Source organism: Homo sapiens, unplaced genomic scaffold (assembly GCF_000001405.40).
Source record: "Homo sapiens unplaced genomic scaffold, GRCh38.p14 Primary Assembly HSCHRUN_RANDOM_CTG4".
NCBI lineage: Eukaryota > Metazoa > Chordata > Mammalia > Primates > Hominidae > Homo > Homo sapiens.
In genome coordinates, this window is record NT_167209.1 from 82,010 (window position 1) to 104,878 (window position 22,869).

General features: G+C 39.0%; 1 protein-coding gene across 1 annotated transcript in view; it reads right to left on the minus strand.

Moving 5' to 3' along the window:
• The window catches only part of LOC105379417 (putative ankyrin repeat domain-containing protein 20A2), a 39,693-nt gene that overhangs the window by 8,493 nt on the left and 8,331 nt on the right, over positions 1 to 22,869 (minus strand). Inside the window, exons 3-5 of the mRNA XM_017030104.2 lie at positions 6,120 to 6,204; positions 3,338 to 3,366; positions 3,174 to 3,246 (exon numbers count right to left, since the gene is read on the minus strand). Of these exons, the coding sequence (XP_016885593.1) occupies positions 3,174 to 3,246; positions 3,338 to 3,366; positions 6,120 to 6,204 (187 nt within the window). The remainder of the gene's footprint in view (positions 1 to 3,173; positions 3,247 to 3,337; positions 3,367 to 6,119; positions 6,205 to 22,869) is intronic.

The following is a 22,869-nucleotide window of genomic DNA, read 5'->3' on the forward strand; positions in this document are numbered from 1 at the left end:
AAAACCCTTACTCATAGTGCGTGATTATCCATTAAGAAAAGGTGATGGAATATGTGAATACAGCTGAGGAGACACCACAAGGCAAATGCTCAGTGGTTCCCATTAATATTGGGAAAATCAACACTATAAAACAAAAAGCCATAGACATTATTTAATATTTGGTTTTGGGAGGTATTTTTAGTGACACTGCATACAGTTGTACCTAATAATTGCTAAATTAGAGACGTAAAAGTAAAACAAAGGCACATTGTGTTTGAGTAGGAAATCTATAGACATCTAGCTGGTTTTCCCATCCAGCCACAAAATTCTAAATATAATCATGGTACCTGTACTCAAATTTATGTTAAATACCAACCTCAATGAAATCACTCTTTCTTCTCATTCCCTTTCTTATTTATATGTTGCTTTCCTTAAGGGAAGAATACAAATGCCTTGCTAAGAACCATTCTGTTTGGTTGTAGGCTGCATAAGGGGAGTGAACACAAAGTATATTTGACCACAAAATGACTCTTTAAAAGTCAGAACTATGGTAGCATGAAGCCAAACGAGGTAATCTAGAATAAAATTTTCTATGCTTCTTTCCCTTCTTTGCTCTCTTTCTACTCTAATAACTGCGATTCACACAGGTAATGAAGAGTGTAATTCCTTGATAGAAACACAGCTCCAAGATTAATCCTTTCTTTAACTATGAAGTTCGCATGTCCAAAATCTATGGTAGTTGCTGTCTGATTTTTGATCACTGATGGTGATACAGATATTTATCATCAACTCACAACTTCCCAAATCTTTGAAAAGTCTTACTATTGATGGTTCAACTAGTAGAAACATGATGTAAAATATCTGAAAATAAAGTTTTTATTTATTAGAATGTAAATAATAATACAAATTGTAATAAGGTGTAAAAGTTCTTTCTTCACTGAAGCAGTACCATGTTGTCCTCTACCCCACAAATGCACTACTCCCCCGTGGTCCAATGTATTTTAAAAGTCTTGTAATTGCTATTAACTCAGACAAGTTTACTTAACTTGTTCTAAGCTTCTGGTATTTACTACAGTTTACTTTCAATCACTCAACCATCTCTGTTATATATGTTGTTTTCCATGAGAAATTTGTTTATTAGTAATTAAGATTCTTCAGGGATAGGAAAATATTTGAATAACTAAGTTTGTGCATAAACACATTAAGGTCAAATACCCATGATACTATTGTGTGTTTCTGTGTACTAGAGAAAAAAACTTCAAAAAAAATTTTAATGAATATACTTTAAATTAAAAACTGCTTTCATTAAACTGAGATAATCTTCCCTCAATGCATGAATACCTCCAGAATTCACATAGACCAAAGAATTGTATAAAATATAATAGCCTTAAAAATCTTATTTGTAGTTGGCACAGTGGCTCCCACCTGTAATCCCAGCACATTGGCAAGCCGAGGTGGGCAGATCACCTGAGGTCAGGAGTTCAAGAGCAGCCTGGCCAACCTGGTGAAACCCCATCTCTACTAGAAATAGAAAAATTAGCAGGGTATGGTAGCACGTGCATGTAGTATCAGCTACTCGAGGGGCTGAGGCAGGAGAATTGCTTGAACCTGAGAGGCAGAGGTGGTAATGAGCCAAGACTGAGCCACTGCACTCCAGCCTTGGTGACAGAACAAGACTCTGTCTCAAAAACACAAACAAACAAACAAAAAACCTAATTGTTCCCATATAAGTCTATGTTCATACAAGATCTGAAGAGTACACAACACCGTGAGACAGGACAGACATATATTTTAAAAGTTATATTCCTGATTTCTGTAAAAATAAAATAGTTGAATTTAAGCTTTCAAGACAAGTCAACGAAAAGAGCAAAAAATGCAAAAGTGAAACTCGAAAGGTCATTTCCCCATCAAGGGCTCATGATCACTGGACATTCACAAACTATACTGTTCAAAACATTAGATCTGAATTTTGATCCGAGTATCCCTTTAGTAGCAGTTTCATTCAAGGATGTCCAAGAGGTAAAATAAGACAATATCATTTGCTATTTTCAGTTTTCTTTTCTGAGAACAGCCCAGCATTCTTCTTCAGAGAAATGAATTGTCCTAACTTCATAGGCTAAAGGCTCATGAGTCATAGTTCTAAGGGCATTAATAAAATATGGTGGTGCATGCTTGTATTCTGAACTTTTCAGGTTTAAACTCTCATATAGTAAATGCTAATAGATACAAACTGATTAAAGAAAAGCCCTCTTAAACTGACATTATTTTTCTTTTTATTTCTTCATTTATCAGCAACAGGAGAGTCTAACTAAATGTGGTAAAGTGGTATGAGGGAATACAATGAACAGTGTAAAATGAATTAAACCAGAGATAATCACACCAATGTGGGTACAAGTGGAAAATATAATACAAAACACACCAAAGAAAGTGGCAGAAAGGTATATAAAGTATATAACCACTCACATACTATTTTAGGACACAAAAAATTCTGCATATTATTTCTGGGCATCACAATGTAGTTAAAGATTTCAAAAGGGCATTGAAATGAAAAACAACCAACTTATGATGTTGGTAGCCTCTATGCAATCATGTTTTAAAAACTTTAACACTAAAAAGGCTCAAAATCACCATTTTAAAAGACTGTGTCTACCAGTCATAAATGAATCATTACTTTCGTCATTTGTAATAGTGAAAGATGCCACAAGCGCACGCATACACACATCTATATATACACCTACACACACAGTCTTGCTCATTAGAACATCTGATAAGCTTCAGATCATCAGTGTAATAACACTAGCAGCAAGCCTCTGAAGTTAAAACAGAAACTGACACTTTAATAGGTAAAGCTTTCCTCTAGGTAAAGATCAGAACTCCAACTAGCACTTAACTCACTGGAAATATCTTAAGAGTCTCAAAATTCACTGCTTTGAATCCCTGACAAGTATAAAAATTTTATACTGAAAACTTCATGCTATTCAAAACATTAAAACAGAAACATCTGACTTAAAGCTTACATTTTTAAAATCTTTTTTATGCTTCTAAATTTGTTTTTATTCAAATATGGATACCAACAATAACATTTATGTCAATGCCTTCTGTTCAATATTGAACAAATAGAATTAGGAATAAGAATAATATGAGTACATCCAATCATTGAATGTACTTTATTTCCAGTATTACATCAAATGTACCTGCTCTCAATGTCTGTACTTTCTTTCTTTGTACTGCTCCTTTCACAGCAGGATCTTCCACTTCAGTGCTAGGCTGAATGGGTTTTAAAAGAAAACGATTCATAAATCATATATATTTTATACAACATGGAGTTAGTGATTCAAAAATATACATAATTAATTATCTTCAAGGAAGGATGTTTTGCAGGAGGCCCTACAAAGCAAAGGGGATATGTCATCAATTATATGTAAGTATGACAGGACCAACCAAACATTCATGCAGTGTTACTGTCGAGCTGAATTCTCAGGCCTGGCTATAAAAATATTTACTTAAGGTTTTGAGGGTTCTTCTTGGCTTCGTCTTTTCATTGCCTAGGACAGCAACATGACAGAAACACAATGAGGAAAATAGGAATATAGGATTCCCAAAATGCACAGTTTACATTTCAGTAGTGAGATTATGTTTCAAATGCCTATACTTAAAATAGAAAAGCATTGATATAACCGTGAACACGTGGACTAATGAGGAGAAAAGGGACCATTAAACAGAGGGGCAAATCAAACCTGAGAGAATCAATGTCAAAGCTGATGGTGAATGTACAGAGTATTTTAACTCCACACACCAGAGGCATTGCTGCCAGCACAGCACAAATAAATTCCCCTTGTCTTGTCACTGAGGAAATACTCAGTTGGGATGACAGTTCAGGTGAATGTGGGATTCACCTCTCATCAAAGAAAGGGTTCTACATTGATCAGCTAGGATACACACTTATGAAATAACAGCTAATCAAAGTACTCATTTTTCCCATGATCACATGGGCTACTGCAGCACCTACATTTCTCCTATCCCCTCATTTGGCCTTGAATTAGAGCTCCTTGATCCACTCATGCAAGGTGGTCCATAAAACACATCAAATAAACCATGTCGAATAAGCTTCTGATATCAAAATATTTATCAAAAAAGAAAACATTGAATGACCACAGACTTGCTGGATATTAATACATATTTATATTTCAAAATCAGTGCAGTATTTATTAAAAATGATAATTTTGGTTTTCATGGAATGAATTTTATGATTACTTCTAAAATTAACTAAGTTTGGTATATTATCTTACACTGTAAAGGACTTTTATAAAACAGCTATCATATCAAAGAACTGGCTGTCTCAAAAAAATTTCGCCAAAGCATCTATATGCAACTTAATCATATCTTATTCACTCATGTCAGTGAAACTTCTCTCCCTGAGGCCTGACAGTTATCAAGTGAAATGAGCTGCTGTGGTTTACCCCAACTCTAGCACTCCCTCCTGTCTCCAGTACTCTCCACAGCAATAACCTCTTTTGTGAGACTGGGCATATGCTGAAGCAACTGGAAGTGAGTTGTCTCAAGTTTACTTGGCTTTAACTCCCAAGACCCCAGCAAATGTCTTTCTTTCCTCCTTTTGTGTCCATTCACCATCCCTCTTCCTTTGAAAAAATGATTATCAGAACTGTCATCCTGATGCTTCCCTTCCTAACTGCTTTATATGGATGATTGTGACCACTTTTTTCATCTGTATTCAGCAGTAGTATACACCTGTAATCTCTCTTTTTTCATCTCATTTTCCTTCCCTTGTGGCTAGAATCATGCTCAGAAATAAAAGGAAATTAAAGCTTTCCCTGGATTCTGTTATTTTTTAAATTGCTCTCCAGTGGTTCTTTTTCCAGATTTCTCTAAAGGAAGGCTATTCCCTTGCTATTCAGAGCTGTGTCCAAGGACCAGCACAAACATCACCTGAGTGCTCATGAGAAATGCAGACTCCAATACCTGCTGAGTCAGAATGTGCACTTTCCAGAAGCTCCTCAACGAATTCATGACAATTTGAATGCCCTGTTCTACACTGGTGTGCTTCCATATTGGTTTACCCTAATTGGCCTTTTTGGCCTAGCCTCAACTTCTTTCCTATTATGTCCCTGAATTTAATACTACGTTATAAGCCATAATGTTTCTAATGAACTTTTAATCAGGCAAAGCTTCTCTAATTAATTTCTTCCCAATAAATCACCCAACACTATTCTTTTCATTTTCTATAAAAACAAATTATAGCCATACATGGCTGACCATTTACGGTGATGTTCATCTATGGTAGATAAAACACAGGTCTGCATGGTAAAGTACCTCAATCCTTAATGCCTCCCCAGTAGCAAGAATGACAGCAAGAGAAGGAAAATGTTACTGTAATTATATGACACATTTTGGTACTGGAAGCTCACTTTATCTTCCTTCCTATTTCTAACACCCTGTTCTTCCTTCTTCTACAGATCAATTTGACTTTACTACCCTCCATTACATACATCCACTTTTTTTTATTTATTCCATGTACACTCTGCCCTCCTCATTCTTTCTTTCTCTTTTATTCATTTCTTCTTCCCTCTCTCCTGACTTGCCTCAGGTCTTAGAGTATGTTAAAATGGAACTCATAACTCAGCTCCTTTAGTGGTACTTCCAATAGAATCAACTGCTGACCCTTGGTTAGAGACACCACTTATCACCTTTTCATTTCTCTTTTACTTATGATACAGTTAATAGGACATTTTCTTTAGCTATTAAACTCTATTAGTGCTCATATTTTAAAAGAAACATTCCATCAATGACTTTTTTTTTTTTTGAGATGGAGTCTCACTCTGTCACCCAGGCTGGAGTGCAGTGGCACGATCTCCGCTCACTGCAAGCTCCACCTCCCAGGTTCACACCATCCTCCTGCCTCAGCCTCCCGAGTTGCTGGGACTACAGGCACCCGCCACCATGCCCGGCTATTTTTTTGTGTTTTTAGTAGAGATGGGGTTTCACTATGTTAGCCAGGATGGTCTTGATCTCCTGACCTCATTACCCGCCAACGTCCGGCTCCCAAAGTGCTGGAATTACAGGCGTGAGCCACCGCGTCTGGTCTCCATCAAATGACTTTTTAAATAAAATACGGTTCTCACCTTCTCCTTTTCCATTGACTATTCTGTTTCCGTTTTCATGAGAAGGTCCACGTAAAGGCTCTGACACTTTCTGGGGGACACACTGCTAAGGTAATATCAAGAATTAGTTTCCATTTAAAATTATAATGAGTTGCATCAAGAGTTTCTTATCAATCTCTTTTTATGAAACTGGGTCTCACTCTGTCAACCCAGGGCTAGAATGCAGGGGCCTGATTATGGCTCACTGTGGTCTCAAACTCCTGACCTCAAGCAATCTTCCCACCTCAACTTCCTGAATAGCTGGAACTACAGGTGCATACCATCATGTCATGCTAATGTTTTTATTGTTATCTTTGTAGAGACAAGGCCTCATTATACCTCCCAGGCTGGTCTCAAGCTCCTGGGCTCAAGCAAATCTTCCACTTCTGCTTCCCAAAATGTTGAGATAAGCATTGTGCACCACCACACCCAGCCCTAATCAATTTCTTTAAATCAATCTCAATGTTGCCCAGGCATGGTGGCTCACACCTGTAATCTCAGCCCTTTGCAAGGCCAAGGTGGGTGGATTGCTTGAGTTCAGGAGTTGGAGACCAGCCTGGGCAACATAATGAGGACACATCTCTACACAAAAAATACCAAAAGGAGTCAGGCATGATGGTGTGTGCCTGTAGTCCCAGCTGCTTGGGAAGCTGATGTGGGAGGATCACTTGAGCCTGAGAGGTGGATACAGCAGTGAGCCAAGATCATGCCACTACACTGCAGCATGGACAACAGAGCTAGACCCTGCCTCCCCAAAAATTTCAATTTAAAATGTGAGAACAAAGAGAGATACAAACAAAAAACAAGCCTAATTAGTCAATGAAATATGAGCTTAAGCCAAGAAAGAAAACGAAAAACATGAAGTACAATAAAGTACATGGGGAAATAGATCTATAACAGAGCCTTCGGTCTTTCATAACTCTGATAATACTAATTAGTATTTATGCTGCAATTAGTTTTTTGTAAGTACTTCTGTGATAGTGTTTCTTACTATAAGACATTCAATTAGCTAAATATGGTCATCTACCATTACCTGAAAGAACATTATTATAACAGAGAGAGAAAACTGGAACTTTCCATCAACTTTCCACCCAGAAAAAGAATTGGTCACCAGAATTCTAAAGAGTAATGTATGGCAGACACATGAAAAAATGCTCATCATCACTGGCCATCAGAGAAATGCAAATTGAAACCACTATGAGATATCATTTCACACCAGTTAGAATGGCAATCATTAAAAAGTCAGGAAACAACAGGTGCTGGAGAGGATGTGGAGAAATAGGAACACTTTTACACTGTTGGTGGGACTGTAAACTAGTTCAACCATTGTGGAAGACAGTGTGGAGATTCCTCAAGGATCAAGAATTAGAAATACCATTTGATCCAGCCATCCCATTACTGGATATATATGCAAAGGATTATAAATCATGCTGCTATAAAGACACATGCACATGTATGTTTATTGTGGCACTATTCACAATAGCAAAGACTTGGAACCAACCCATATGCCCATCAATGATAGACTGGATTAAGAAAATGTGGCACTTACACACCATGGAATACTATGCAGCATAAAAAATGATGAGTTCATGTCCTTTGTAGGGACATGGATGAAGCTGGAAACCATCATTCTGAGCAAACTGTTGCAAGGACAGAAAACCAAACACCACATGTTCTCACTCATAGGTGGGAACTGAACAATGAGAACACTTGGACACAGGATGGGGAACATCACACACCAGGGCCTGTCATGGGGTGGGGGGAGAGGGGAGGAATAGCATTAGGAGATATGCCTAATATAAATGACGAGTTAATGGGTGCAGCACACCAACATGGCACATGTATACATATTTAACAAACCTGCACGTTGTGCACATGTACCCTAGAACTTAAAGTATAATAATAATAATAAAGAGTAATGTATGGCTTGAAACGGTATATTTAATGGAACATGAGTTGGGTCTAATAAAAACCTTAAGAAATGTTAATCTAAAATCTCAATGTTAAGATTCCAGTTGAATGATACTAGAAAATATATTGTAACCCTCTTTGCTACCGATGACCTATTTCTCTTTTATTTCCTTTTTAATTATTGCATAATTTCTCAACATAACATGTCAAAACTTATACACCCTTAAATATTAAAAAATAATACAATGTAAGCAATGTTTTAAATACAATATTTAATGATTAGATACATTAGGTTTATTATATTACTTATAACATTCCATTATATAAAAATTCATTTGTTTATTTATTCAGATTAAACAACTATTAAGGCTGAATGTCTCATGTCTGTAACCCCAGCACTTTGAGAGGCTGAGGCGAGCAGAACACTTGAGCCCAACAGTTAAAGAAGAGCCTGGGTAACAAGGCAAAACCCTATCTCTACAAAACTCAGCCCAGCATGGTGACACAGGTCTATGGTGACATAGCTCTATTGTTTCAACTACTTGGATGGCTGAGGTGTGAGGATCACCTGAGCCTAGGAAATGGAGATTGGAGTGAGCCAAGATCTCACCAGTGCCCTCCAGCCTGGGTGACAGAGTGAAACCCCATCTCAAAAAACAACAAGTAAAATGCTTCTTACATGGAAGACTGTCTTCTAGGTACTCCAGGATACACACAAATATGTTTACTGACCTCTAGTAGCTTATGGTATGCAGGAGCTTCCAATGATGGGACAGTCCTATTTATTATCTCAGAAATATTCCTCTTTGCTGGATTCTTTTGAGCATTCTACCATTCTAGCCTAGCCCCTACTCCAGAATTAGGAGGGCATTGACCCCCAACAGGTATTTCTCCCCTTGACCCCCTGGAAGTACCTCTCCTGAATCCATCTGTATTACTTGCATCAGGAGTTTCAATTACTTGAGCCCATCACAGCCTAACAAAAAATAATCAAAAACATACAATCTAAGCACTACCTGTTACAATTATATTAGATATTTACTTCACCCTCCTACAAGTCTCAGAATACTTCAAAGCTCCCTTTGCTATTTCTGATGGTATTTATGGCTCAACATTTTTTATAGCTACAGGCTTTCACAGAATTCACGTCATTATTGGATCAACATTCCTCAGTCTGCCTTCTCCGCCAATTAAAATACCACTTTACATCTAGTCATCACTTTGCCTTTGAAGCCGCTGCCTGATATCGACACTTTGTAGATGTAGTATGACTATTCTTGTATGTTTCTACTTATTGATGAGGATCTTACTCTTTTAGTATAAATAGTACCATGATTTCCAAAGTTTTGATAGCATCCGAAAAACAGTAATTCACCTAACATTAACCCTAGTAATCAACACCCTATTAGCCCTGTTACTAATAATTATTACATTTTGGCTCCCACAACTTAATATATATATGTAGAGAGAGATAAAAATATATATATATGTATAAAATAAATATATATAGAAAAGTCTAGCCCTTATGAATGCAGATTTGACCCTCTATCCTCTGCCCACATTCCCTTCTCCATAAAATTCTTTCTAGTAGCCATCACATTTCCCCTATTTGAGTTAGAACTCGCCCTACTACTACCCTTACTGTGAGTCCTTCAAACAATCTGATACTAATAATCCCTGCGATATGTGTAGTGACTTCATACTTCACCCCCCCGGATATTACGGCCAATATCAGAGTGGAGTGTGCACCCCCTGCAATATGGGGAGTGATATCATCCTCTCCCCACTGGATGTTATGGACAAAATCGCAGGAGGTTTACTTTCTCTAGGTTATGGGGAAAAATATCCTCCTGTCCCCGCCTGGATGTTAGACATATTTAGAGGGGGTTGTCCACCCCCTGTGATATGGGGAGTAGTAATATCCTCTCCTGTCCTGGATGTTATGGACAATATATAGGGAGATGTACAATCCCTTCGATATGGGGAGTAATATCATCCTCTTCCCCCTAAACGTTACGAACAGTATCACAGGGGGGTGTACACCCCCTGCAATATCTGGAGTAGTATCATCCCCTTCTTCCCTAAATGTTACAGAGACTATCACAGGGGTGTGTACACCTTCTGAAACATGGGAATAATATTCTCTTCCTCTCTGGATGTTATTATGGACAACATTACAGCCGTGTGCACCCTCTATGATATGCAGAGTAATATCATCCTCTACCCCCCGGATGTAAGTGACAATACCACAAACGGGTTTACATCCCCCGTGATATGGGGAGTAATAACATCCTCTTCCCCACTGGATATTAACAATATCACTTGGGGATGTACAACCCCTGTGATATTCGGAATAATATCTTCTAATCCACTGAAAATTATAAACAATATCACCAGTGTACACTCCCTGTGATATTGGAAGTAATATCATCCTCTAATCCCCTAAAAATTATGAACAGTATCACAGGGTAGTGTATACTTCCTACTATATTGGGAGTAATATCATCCTGTCGTCTTCTAAATATTATGAACAATATTACAGGGGATGTAACACTCCCTGTGATATGTGGAGTAATATCATCCTCTCCTTCCCTAAATATTGTGAACAATATCACAGGACGTTGTACACAATCTGCGATATTGTTTGTAGTATCCAGTGGGAAAGAGGATGCTATTACTCCCCATATCACAGGGGGTGTACACCCCCACTGTGATATATTCAATAACATCCAGGAGTAATATTACTGACAAAATTGCAGGGGGTGTAAACCCCACCTGTGATACCATTCCTAATATCCCGGGGAAGACAGGATGATATTATTCCCAATATTGCAGGGGGTGTACACCCACCCTATGATATTGTTATTAATACCCAGGAGGGGAGACAATGGCATTACTCACAGTATCAAAGAGGTTGTACAGCCCCCCTGTGATAGTTTCTAATATCCAGGGGATGTATACCACCCTTGTGATATTGTTTCTAATATGTAGGGGGAAGGACAATGATATTACTGTCCGTATCACAGGGGGTGTACAACAAGCCCCCCGGGATATCATTCCTAATATCCATGGGAAGAAAGAATATTATAATATCACATAAGTTGTACATCCCCTCTGTGATATTGTTCCTAATATCAAAGACAGAAGGGTATGATGTTCTTCCCAAAATCACAGGAAGTGTATACACACCCTGTGCTATTTTTCCTAATATCGAGAGTGAGAGACAATGATACTTCCAATATCATAAGGAGTGTACACTCTCCCCGTGATACCAGGTGGGGAAATGTTGATATTACTCCAAATGTCACAGTGGGTGTACACACGTTTTGCGATATTGTTCCTAATATCAAGTGGGGAGGAGGATTGTATTACTCCCACCATATTACTCCCTACACCCCATTATACTGTTCTTAATATCCAGATTTGGAGAGGATGATATTACTCCCAAAATCTCAGGAGGTGTAGACCCCTTCTGTGATACTGTTTCTTATATCCAGGGGAAGAATAGATGATAGTACTCCCAACAGTGCAGGGTGTTACACGCCACCCCCCATGATATTGTCTCTAATATCAAGTTGGGGAGAGGGTGATATTGCTCCAAATAGTGTAAAGGGTGCACACCAGCACTGTGATATTATTCCTAGTATCCAGAGAAGGAGAGAATGGTATTATTTTTAATATCACAGAGGGTGGACACCCCCCTTGTGATACTGCTCCTAACATCCAAGGGGTAGAGGATGAAATTACTCCCAATATCACAGTGGGTATACACCCCTCCGTTGTATTGTTCCTAATATCCAGGGGGTATAGGATGATAGTACTATAAATATCACAAGGGGTGTACACCCCTTCTGATGTTGTTACTAATATCCGTGGGGGGAGTCGATGATATTACTTCCAATATCACAGGGCATGTACACCCCCCTTGTGATATTGTTCCTAATATCCTGGGAGGAGACTACAATATTACTGGCAATATCGCAGGGTGTGTGCATTCCCGTGATATTGTTCCTAATGTCCAGCAAGGGAGAAAATATTACTCCCAATATGGCGGGCGTGTACACTTCCCATGCGATATCGTTCCTAATATCCATGGGGGAAAAGGATGATATTACTCTAAATGGCGCAGGAAGTGTAAACCGCCCCTGTGATAATGTTCTCAATATCCATGGGGGGAGAGAATGATATTACTCCCAATATCACAGGTGGTGTACACCCCTCCTGTTATATTATTCCTAATATCCAAGTTGGATGAGAATAATATTACAGGTAAAATAGCAGGGGGTGTACACTCTGCCTGTGATATTGTTCCTAATATCCCAGGGAAGAGTGAACAATATTACTCTCAATATCACAGGATGTGTACACCCCCTTTGTGATATTGTTCCTAATATCCATAGGGGGAGGGGGTGATACCACTCCCAATAGTGCAGAAAAGGTACAGCCCCGCTGTGATATCATTCCTAATATCCAGAGGGGACAGGATGATATTACTCCCAATATCACAGAGGGCATACACCCCCTCCCCATGATATTGTTCATAATACCCAGGGGGTGGAGGATGATATTACTCCCAATATCGCAGTGGGTGTACACCCACCCTGTGATATTGTTCCTAATATCCATGTGGAAAGGGTATAAAGTTACTCCCAATATCACAGGGGTTGTACAACCCCCTTGTGATATTGTTCCTTATATTCGGGGGAGAGACAATGATATAGCTGTCCATATTGCAGGTGGTGTACCACCCCTGGGAATTTGTTCCTAATATTCAGTGGGGAAGATGATATTAATTAAAATGTCACGGGGGGTATAAAACCCCTTTGTGATATTATTCCTAATATCCAGGGATGAAAGAATATTATTCCCAATATCGCAGGGGATGTACACCCCTCTCTGATACTTTTTCTAATATCCCTTTGGGAAGTCTATAATATTACTGGCAATATCATAAGGAGTGTATACCCCCCGTTATATTTTTCCTTATGTCCAGCAAGGGAGAAAATATTAATCCCAATATGGAACAGGGTGTACACACCCATGAGGTATTGTTCCTAATATCCAGGGAGGGAAAGGATGATATTACTCCCAATGTTGCAGTGGTGTATAACCCCCCGTGATATTGTTCCTAATATCTAGGTGGGGAAAGTACAGTATTACTCCCAATATGGCAGGGGTTGTACACCACCTTTGTGATATTGTTCTACATATCCATGGGGAAAGAAAATGATAGTACTCCATAATATCACAGGTGGTGTACAACCCCTTGTGATACTGTTTCTAATATCCATGTTGGGGGAGGATATTACTCCCAATATTGCAGGTGTTGCACAGACCCCCTTTGATATTGCTTGTACTATGCAGGGTGTGGGGGGAGAGGATGATATTGGGAGTAATATCACCCTCTCTCCCCGGATATTAAAAGCAATATTCAGGGTGGTCGACACTTCCTGCAATATTGAGTATAATATCCTCTCCCAACCTGGATATTAGGAACAATATCACAGGGGCATGTACACTCCCTTCCTTTCACCATATAAAAAAATCAACTCAAGATGGATGAAGGACTTATGTAAGACCCAAAACTATATAAACCCTAGAAGAAAACTTAGGAAATATCATTCTGGACATAGACGCAGGCAAATATTTCATGATGAAGATTCCAAAAGCAATTGCAACAAGAAGAATTGATGAGTGGGACCTAATGAAACTAAAGAGCTTCAGCACAGCAAAAGAAACTATCAACAGAGAACACCCTACAGAACAGAAGAAAATATTTTCAAATTACATATCTGAAAAAGGTCTAATACTTAGCATGTATAAAGAATCAATAAGCAAAAAACAAACCCACTACAAATAGGCAAAGAACATGAGCCCCCACATTCACCATCCTCAAGTCCATGTGCAACTTCTTTCTGAATGCTGGACAAGGACTTGGATACCAAGAGGGCACTGAAAGGGTTAACACTTAAGCCGTCTGTGAATTCTTTTTTCAAAATACAACGTATGTATGGCAAACAACCGTATGAAAAAATACTCAACATCACTAATCATCAGAAAATCAGAACCATGAGATACCATATCACACCGGCCAGAATGGCTATTATTAAAAAATCAAAACATAACAGACGGTGCCGAGTTTGTGGAAAAAAGGGAATGCTTATACACTGCTGGTGGTGATATAGAAAGGAGACAGGGAAATACTGGGTAGAAGAGAGTGGTTCCCTGGCAAAGCCCTGCCCACAAGCCTGGAAACCCATGGCCCTAAATGGGAACAGGCATTCCTGCTTTTGCACCCAAAAGTTGTCTTTCAGCTCACCATGCACCCCCTGTCCTGTACCCATATATGCCCCAGACCCCAGGCTCCAGAAGCAGACAAGCAGATGAGGAGATGAACAGAAGAGCAGAATTGCAGAATGATGTGGCAGAAAGAAGAGAAGGAGCATCTGAATGCCAAGAGGAGTTTGGCTGGCAGTGGTTGTAGAGATCAGCCTCTGGATGGCAAGCAGATGAGGAGATGAACAGAAGAGCAGAATTGCAGAATGATGTGGCAGAAAGAAGAGAAGGAGCATCTGAATGCCTAGAGGAGTTTGGCTGGCAGTGGTTGGAGAGATCAGCCTCTGGATGGCAAAGCTCCGGGGGAAGATCATCTTCCCATTCCATCCCCTTTCCAGCTCCCCATCCATCCCATTGAGTGCCACCTCCACCACTCAATAAAACCCCCACATTCACCATCCTCAAGTCTGTGTGCAACTTAATTCTTTCTGGATGCTGGACAAGGAACTGGGTACCAAGAGGGCACTGAACAGGTTAACACTTAAGCCGTCTGTGGATGGCAAAGCTAAAAGAGTGCACTGTAACACATGCCCACTTGGGCTGTGGGAGTCGCAGGAACCCACCCCTAGACAGTACCATGGCCACTTGCCCTGCCTATTGCACCTGCCTGTCTGCATGCTCCCCTGCCCAGTAAGGGGTTTGACAGCACACACGGTGGCCAGACAAGCCACACCCCTGTTGCACATCCTGCCAAGGGGAGTCAGGGAAGTCTCCAGTTTCATCAGGAATGTAAATTTGTTCAGCCATTGTGGAAAGCAGTTTGGAGATTTCTGAAATAACTTAAAACAGAACTACCATTCAACCCAGCAATCCCATTATTGGGTATATACCCAAAGGAATATAAATCATTCTGTCATAGACATATGCACGCATATTTTCATTATAACACTATTCACAATAGCAAAGACACGGAATCAACTTAGATGCCTGTTAACAGAAGACTGGATTAAAAAAATGCAGCGTACATACACCATGGAATACTACACACCTATAAAATAGGATGAAATAATGTCTTTTGCAGCAACATGAATGGAGCTGGAGACCATTATTCTAAGTGAATTAATGAAGGAACAGAAAACCAAACAAACACTGCATGTTCTCACTTATAAGTGGGGGCTAAACATTGAGTCCACATGGACACAGAGAAGGGAACAATAGACACAAGGTCTACTGTGGGTGGAGGGTTGGTGGAGAGTGAGGATCAAAAAACTCCCTATTAGATATTACGTTCACTACCTGGATGACTACCTAATCTGTACACCAAATCCCATTGACACACATTTTACCCATATAATAAACCTGCACATGTACCCGCTGAACCTAAAATAAATGTTGGAAGGAAATAAAGTTACAACCAACTCTTGTACTATGAGGAAACAATCATATGTGTTGACAAAAAATCAGCTACTAATAGATTTATAATAGTATATATGTAGCAGAAAAATATCAGATATAACTTATATACCCAAAAGTATGACTTAAAAACAGCATGACAATCTTTATGATGGGATATTGTGAAACTACTAGAAGCACATTTTCAGAGATTATTTATTAACATATGATAATGACTACATTGAGTGGTTTTTAGAAGCATGAATTGAAACCATGTATAAGCATGACTTTATTGAACTTATATATAACATTACACACACATTTACATAATTATAAAATAAGTATGCTCATGTTCATAATATGTATTTATTTATATTCATATGTAAGGCCAATAGGAAGTAATCTCTGTATCTGAGTTATTATTTCATAAATAATTTATGCTTGTTCTGTGAAAATAAAAGCACTGCTATGGATCTTCCAAGTATCCTGAAAGGATACCGTTTATAATTAAACAATAACAATTTTAGAAATAATTATTTTAAATAAGGCTATGATAAATCTGGTTTCATTGCACACTTTAACTTTGGAACATTTCATGAAGCGTCCCTTGATCACGACTCTCATATTCCGGAGTTTTTTGAGATCAAAATGGGACAATCAGTATGAATCTATTTTTTAGACATGCAAATGGATAACTTTAAATAGCAGTAGCGATATAATCAGAGTGCACAGTTGCTCTGGGACAAAACTTGGAAATCAGCATATTTTTAGATTCTTAATGTTTTACACACTTTAGCATGCCACAGCACCATTACATACTCATTTTTCTACTAGAATACCTTGGTAAAAATTCACAGTAGAGATCAGGCTTGTCCTTCATACATTAACTAATCAAGCAGGAAAGTGCAAATGAGAACACAGTGCCAAATATAGGCACCACATGGAAACAAGCATGGAACTGCCAGGAAGCCATTTTTGTAGCTTTGTAGCCCAATTATATTTTTCCTAATGTATTGCACACAAAACTTGGGGGAAAAAAAAGAGGCAGAGAGAAAACAGGTTATATCAGCTCTATCTCACAATCCACAAGTTCATCCTATTAGAGGAGTAACTATGTAAAACAAATTTTATCTGTTGAATGTCCTATTTAGTTAATCGCAAAACTGTATGAGAACACACTTGTGACTTATTTAGCAGCTTGTTTGTTCGCTTTCCACTGGCTTCACAAATGTCCTTTGGAAATAGAATGTATATTTGGAACCCTGTACACCTTTTCTTTCTCCAGTAACCTGTTGTCACTTCCATCACTAAGGTGACAGAAGCAACTAGGGGCAATGCATTTGTAGCACACCTGGGTCAGAGGTATCCTCCAGGGGAAGGATCAGACCTGCTTGAAAGCATGTCGTTGGAATTGGGAGGCTTCTAGTAGCTATAACATAAGCACTGATGTTTACTGTTCCCTGCCCTCAACTTTGATCACTCTGGGAAAAGTTTTTTTTTTTTAAATCCATTGTATTGAAACATAATTTACATAAAATAAATACTATTTTAAAGTGCACAGTTTGCTGAGTTTTGCCAGATGTAACCATCCAGGTGAATAAAATTGATTAAACTGATCTTTCAAATAATAAATTAACTTTGCAATCTTGCTAGAAAATTAATTTGTTCACAGTTTATTATCCATTCTATGTACTGCTACATTCAATTGGTTATTATGTTTTAAGGACTTTTGAGTCTATGTTTATGAGGGATAAACATCAAAGTTGTATAATGCCTTTGTCTCGATTTGGAATCGGCAATACTGGGTTCATAAAATAAGATAGGAAATGTCCCTTTAAATTTTCTTTTTTTTTTTTTTTTTTTTTTGAGACGGAGATTCACTCTTGTTGCCCAGGCTGGAGTGCAATGGCACAATTTAGGCTCTCCACAATCTCTGCCTCCCAGATTCAAGCTATTCTCCTGCCTCTGTCTCCCAAGGAGCTGGGATTACAGGTAAGCGCCACCACACCCTGCTAATTATGTACTTTTAGTAGAGACGGGGGTTTCTCCTTGCTGGTCAGGTTGGTCTCAAACTCCTGACCCCAGGTGATCTGCCAGTCTTGGCCTCCCAAAGTGCTGGGATTACATGTGTGAGCCACTGTGCCTGGCCCTTAAATTCTATTTCTTAAAAAGAGTCCGTTCAAGATTGATATTATAGATATTCCTTAACTTACAATTGTCTTATGTCTTAATGAACTCATCCTAAATTGAAAATATTGTAAGTCTAAAACGCATTTAATATATTTAACCTACTGAATATCATGACTTAGCCTCGCCTACCTTAAACTTGCTCAGAACACTTACATTATCCTACAATTGGGCAAAATCATCTACCACAAGACCCATTTTAAAATATTCAGTATCTCATGAAATTTATTGAAAACTACACTGATAGTGAAAAACTGGTCATATTGATGCTCATCATTAATGTACACAGATGAAAGCACCATTATCAAGTCAGAAGAGCACAAGTCAAACCACTGTAAGTTGAGGACTCTCTGTACTTTCTTAAATGTTTGATAGAATTCACCTAAGAAAGCATGTAGCCTGTAAGTATAGAAATCTTTTTAAATTAAAAAAAATTCTTCAATACATAGAGAAGCTATTACTTTTTCTATTTCATTTTGCATCAGTTTTAAGAATTAGTTTTACAAATAATTTCCCATGTTATTTTAATTGTCAAATGTATTGGCCTAAAGTTTTCATAATTATATTGATGTCTGTAGGTTCTGTAGTTACATCTTCTATTTAATTCCCATTATCTACATTATGTAGCTTCTCTAAATTTTTTCGAGATAAATCTTGCTAGCCATTGTTTATTAAAAAAATTTTTTTCAAAGAACCAATTTGTGGGTATATTAATTAGCTCCACCTTTTGTTATTTGCTATGTTGTTGGTTTACATTTTTATCTTTATCATCTTCCTTCTTCTTAATTTGGATATACTTTGCTCATTTTTTAGCCTCTTAAAAAAGAACCTAAAGGTCATTGATTGAAGCCTTTTATTTTCAGTATATTACATCTATAAATGTACCTTTAAGAAAAGATTTATCTGCATCCCACATTTTATTAAGTTTTTAAAAAATTTTCTTTCAGTTTAAACTATTTTTTTTTTTGTGTGTGAAACTTTTCTTGGCCAATGGGTTTTTCTGAAGTATTTTGTTTAATGTTCAAATGTTGGGGTGTTATTGTACATATCCTACTGTTGTCCATCTCTGGTTCATGATACAATGCATGTTCTCCATTGCACTTAGATAACATGCCTCCATGTCTCTGGAGAATTCCTCAGTCTTTCTAAAATGCTTTTGATGAATACTGGCAGTTATTTTGTAGAATGTCCCTCCTCAATTTCAGTTAGTCTGATGTTTTCTCACGGTTAGGACTAAAGTTATACATTTTGTCTAAGAATACCATAGAATTGATGTTTTGTCCTACTCAGTGCATCATATAAGAAGTTACATGAAGTTCATTTATCTTATTATTAGTAACGTTAACTTTGATCACTTGGCTAAGTTGACATCTCCACTTTGAAGTTACTATTCTATAATTATGTTGTGGGAAGATACTTTCATATTATGCAAATATGTTCTTTCCCAACATATATTCACCACTAATCTTAGCATCCCTCCAAGGTTCTTTCTTGCAACAATTATTACTGTGATATTTGCAAAGTGATGATTCTTATATTTTATGTCTCCTACATTTAATGAAATTTTACTGTAATAAATACTACCCATTCTCAATCTTTGGTTTATTATTTATGTCAATATGGATTTTTTTTTAGTTGGAGTCTTGTTTTGTCATCCAGGCTGTTGTGCAATGGTGCGATTTCCGCTCACTGCACTTCCACCTTCCGGGATTCAAGCCATTCTCCTGCCTCAGCCTCCAGAGTAGCTGGGACTACAGGCATGGGCCACCATGCCCGGCTAATTTTTGTATTTTTAGTAGAGGCAGGGATTCACCACATTGGTCAGGCTGGTCTCGAACTCCTGACCTCAAGTGACCTGCCCGCCTCTGCCTTCCAAAGTTCTGGGAATACAGGCATCAGCAACCGCACCTGGCCTGGATTAATTGAAAATTTTCTTCTGTAGATTGTAATATATTACTATTGTTATCTATTTTATTGCCCCAATTTTCTCAAATTTGGCTATGGAAGTTTATTCAAAATGGATCTGTTTCCCTTTCACATTTTCCCCATTTTGTGAGCATTTCCTTACTTCCTAACATGACAAAATATTTCAAACTAATGTTGTATTTTCCCTGGCCAATCCTGATATCAAATATGTCCCCAAGGAGCCTTGGTTCCTTTAATTGGAGAATGGTGTTCTCATTGTTACTGGGATGATGTTGTTTCTAGGCCCTTTTGTTAGAGGAGCTAGAAAATATATGTATGTATACTCACACATTTATACACATCTGTACTTATTTATACAATTATCCATCTGTATGTATACTGCACAGCTCCTTGAATATTCTAAAAACCACTCAATTGTATACTTTCTTTTTTTCTTTAGTTATTTAAAGACAGGGTCTCCTTTTGTCACCCATGCTGTAGTGCAGTGGTGCCATCTGGTCTCACTGCAACCTATGGCTTCTGGGCTCAAGTGATCTTCCAGTCTCATGTCCCCAAGTAGTTGGGACTACAGGCATGAGCCACCACATCCAGCTAATTTTTGTATTTTTGCTAGAGATGCTGTTTTGCCATGTTGCCCAGGCTAGTCGCAAACTCCTGAACACAAGCGATCCACCTGCCTCAGCTGCCCAAAGTCTTAGCGTTATAGGAATTAGCCACTGCACCTGGCCTGAATTGCGTACTTTGATAAATGAATTGCATGATACGTTAACCATATTTCAATAACGTTATTATTTTAAAAATGGCTGGGCATGGCGTGGTGACTCACGCCTCTGATCTCAGCACACTGGGAGGCCAAGGTGGGTGGATTGCCTGATTTCAGGAGTTCGAGACCAGTCTGGCCAACATACTGAAACTCTGTCTCTACTAAAAATACAAAAATATTAGCTGAGAGTGGTGACATGGGCCTGTAATTCCAGCTAGTCTGGAGGCTGAGGCAGGGGAGTTGCTTGAACCAGGGAGGTGGAGGTTGCAGTCAGCTGAGATCACACCACTGCATTCCAGCCTGCATGACAGAGTAAGAGTCCGTCTCCAAAAGAAAGAAAGAAAAAGAAAATGGGCATTGAACACAGGTGGCTCCCACCTACATATAATCCAAGCACTTTGGGAAGCTGAGGCAGAATGATCACTTGAGGCCAGGAGTCTGACAACATCCTGAGATTTAGCCTTTAAAATGAACCAGTAAAAGAAAGTAAATTGGTGAGATGCAGTGGTTCATGCCCATAATCCCAGCATTTTGTGAAGTTGAGGTGGGAGGATCACGTGAGCCCAGAAATTTGAGACCAGCCTGGGCAACATAACAAGACCCCATCTCTACAAAAAGTAAAAGAACATAGCCAGATATGCTGGTACAGGCCTATAATCTCAGCTATTTGGGAGGCTGAGGTGGGAGGATCACTTGAGCCCAGGAGTCCCATGCTACAGTGAGCTTTGATCACACCACTGCATTCCAGCCTGGCAACAGACTGAGACCCTGTATCTCAGAAAAAAAAGAAAACAATCTGTTTTTCTGAGTTCTGCAAGCTGTCCGAGCAAATGATTCCACCCACCAATGAGGGTCATTAAACCTTGTTTTCTAACTGGTTGGTCAAAACTACATGTAACAACCCAAGACTTGCAATTGGCATGTGGAGTGAGAGTAGACTCCTGGGACTGAGCGCCCCTCCTGCGGGGTCTGCACTAACTCCAGGGAGTGTCAGGATAGAATTGTGGGATACCCAGTTGGGATCCAGATTGTCTGAAAATCAGTGTAGAAACTCCACATGCACATTTGGTCAGAGGTGTTTGACCGTAACTACTATTCACGAAAAAGGTCTTCTCATTAGAACTAAAAATCACAAAATTGTAAGTTCTACAAAAACAAATCAACCTTATCTACCGCCCAGTCCTACTGAAATACAGAATGTGAGAACAGAAGGTCTGACCATGGAGTCGAGAGCTGACAGGAATGTCACCACCATCCTGCTCTCCAAGGACTCCTCATCTTCAACAGACTCCTCATCTTCAATGGGCAGGGTGGAAACTGCAACTTGTGCCATGATCCTTGCACAAGAAAAGTAGTAAGAAAATGAGTGGTAGAAATCCAGTGTCCTAAACTCACATCCAGAGCTGTGAGAGTTTTTTACTGGCTGGATAATTCACAGTTTTCTTGAATCAGGGGAAAAATAAGACTCAGAAACTAGGAATTCATTTTGTCCAAAACTCTCATCAGATACAGAATCCATCCGCTAACTATCTAGTGTTATTTCCATAAGTTAGATCAATTATCACTCCCAAAACAAATGCACATGGCACCCAGAATCTGTGCATTTCTCCCAAGTAAAAGAGGAGGTGGACGGGCGCAGTGTCTCATGCCTTTAACCCCAGCACTTTGGGAGGCCAAGGTGGGTGGATCACCTGAAGTCAGGAGTTCAAGACAAGCCTGGACAACATGGTGATACCCTGTCTCTACTAAAAATAAAAAAAGTTAGCCAGGTGTGGTGGCATGTGCCTGTAGTCCCAGCTTCTTGGGAGGCTGAGGCAGGAGAATCACTTGAACCCAGGAGGCTGAGGTTGCAGTGAGCAGAGATCGCACCACTGCACCTCAGCCTGGACGACAGAGTGAGACTCTGTCTCAAAAAAAAGGAGGGGAGGAAAGGAGGCAAGGCACTTTACAACCCAGTGATGGGCTACCACAACTCAACACAGCAAAGAGTTGCCAAGCTCCCTTTCTCCCTTGCACAACACGACACAGAAGAGTTGGTGCAGTGGAATGAGGCTGGATGGAGAGAAGTTCCTCTTCTTTCTTTCCTTTTATTTTTTTGAGATGGACTCTCGCTCTGTCACACAGGCTGGGCTGCAGTGGTGCAATCTCGGTTACTGTAACCTCTGCCTTATGGGTTTAATCAATTCTCTTCCTCAGCCTTCCAAATACCTGGGGTTAGAGGCACCCCCCACCACACCCAGCTAATTTTTTTTTTTTTTTTTTAGTGGAGACTGGGTT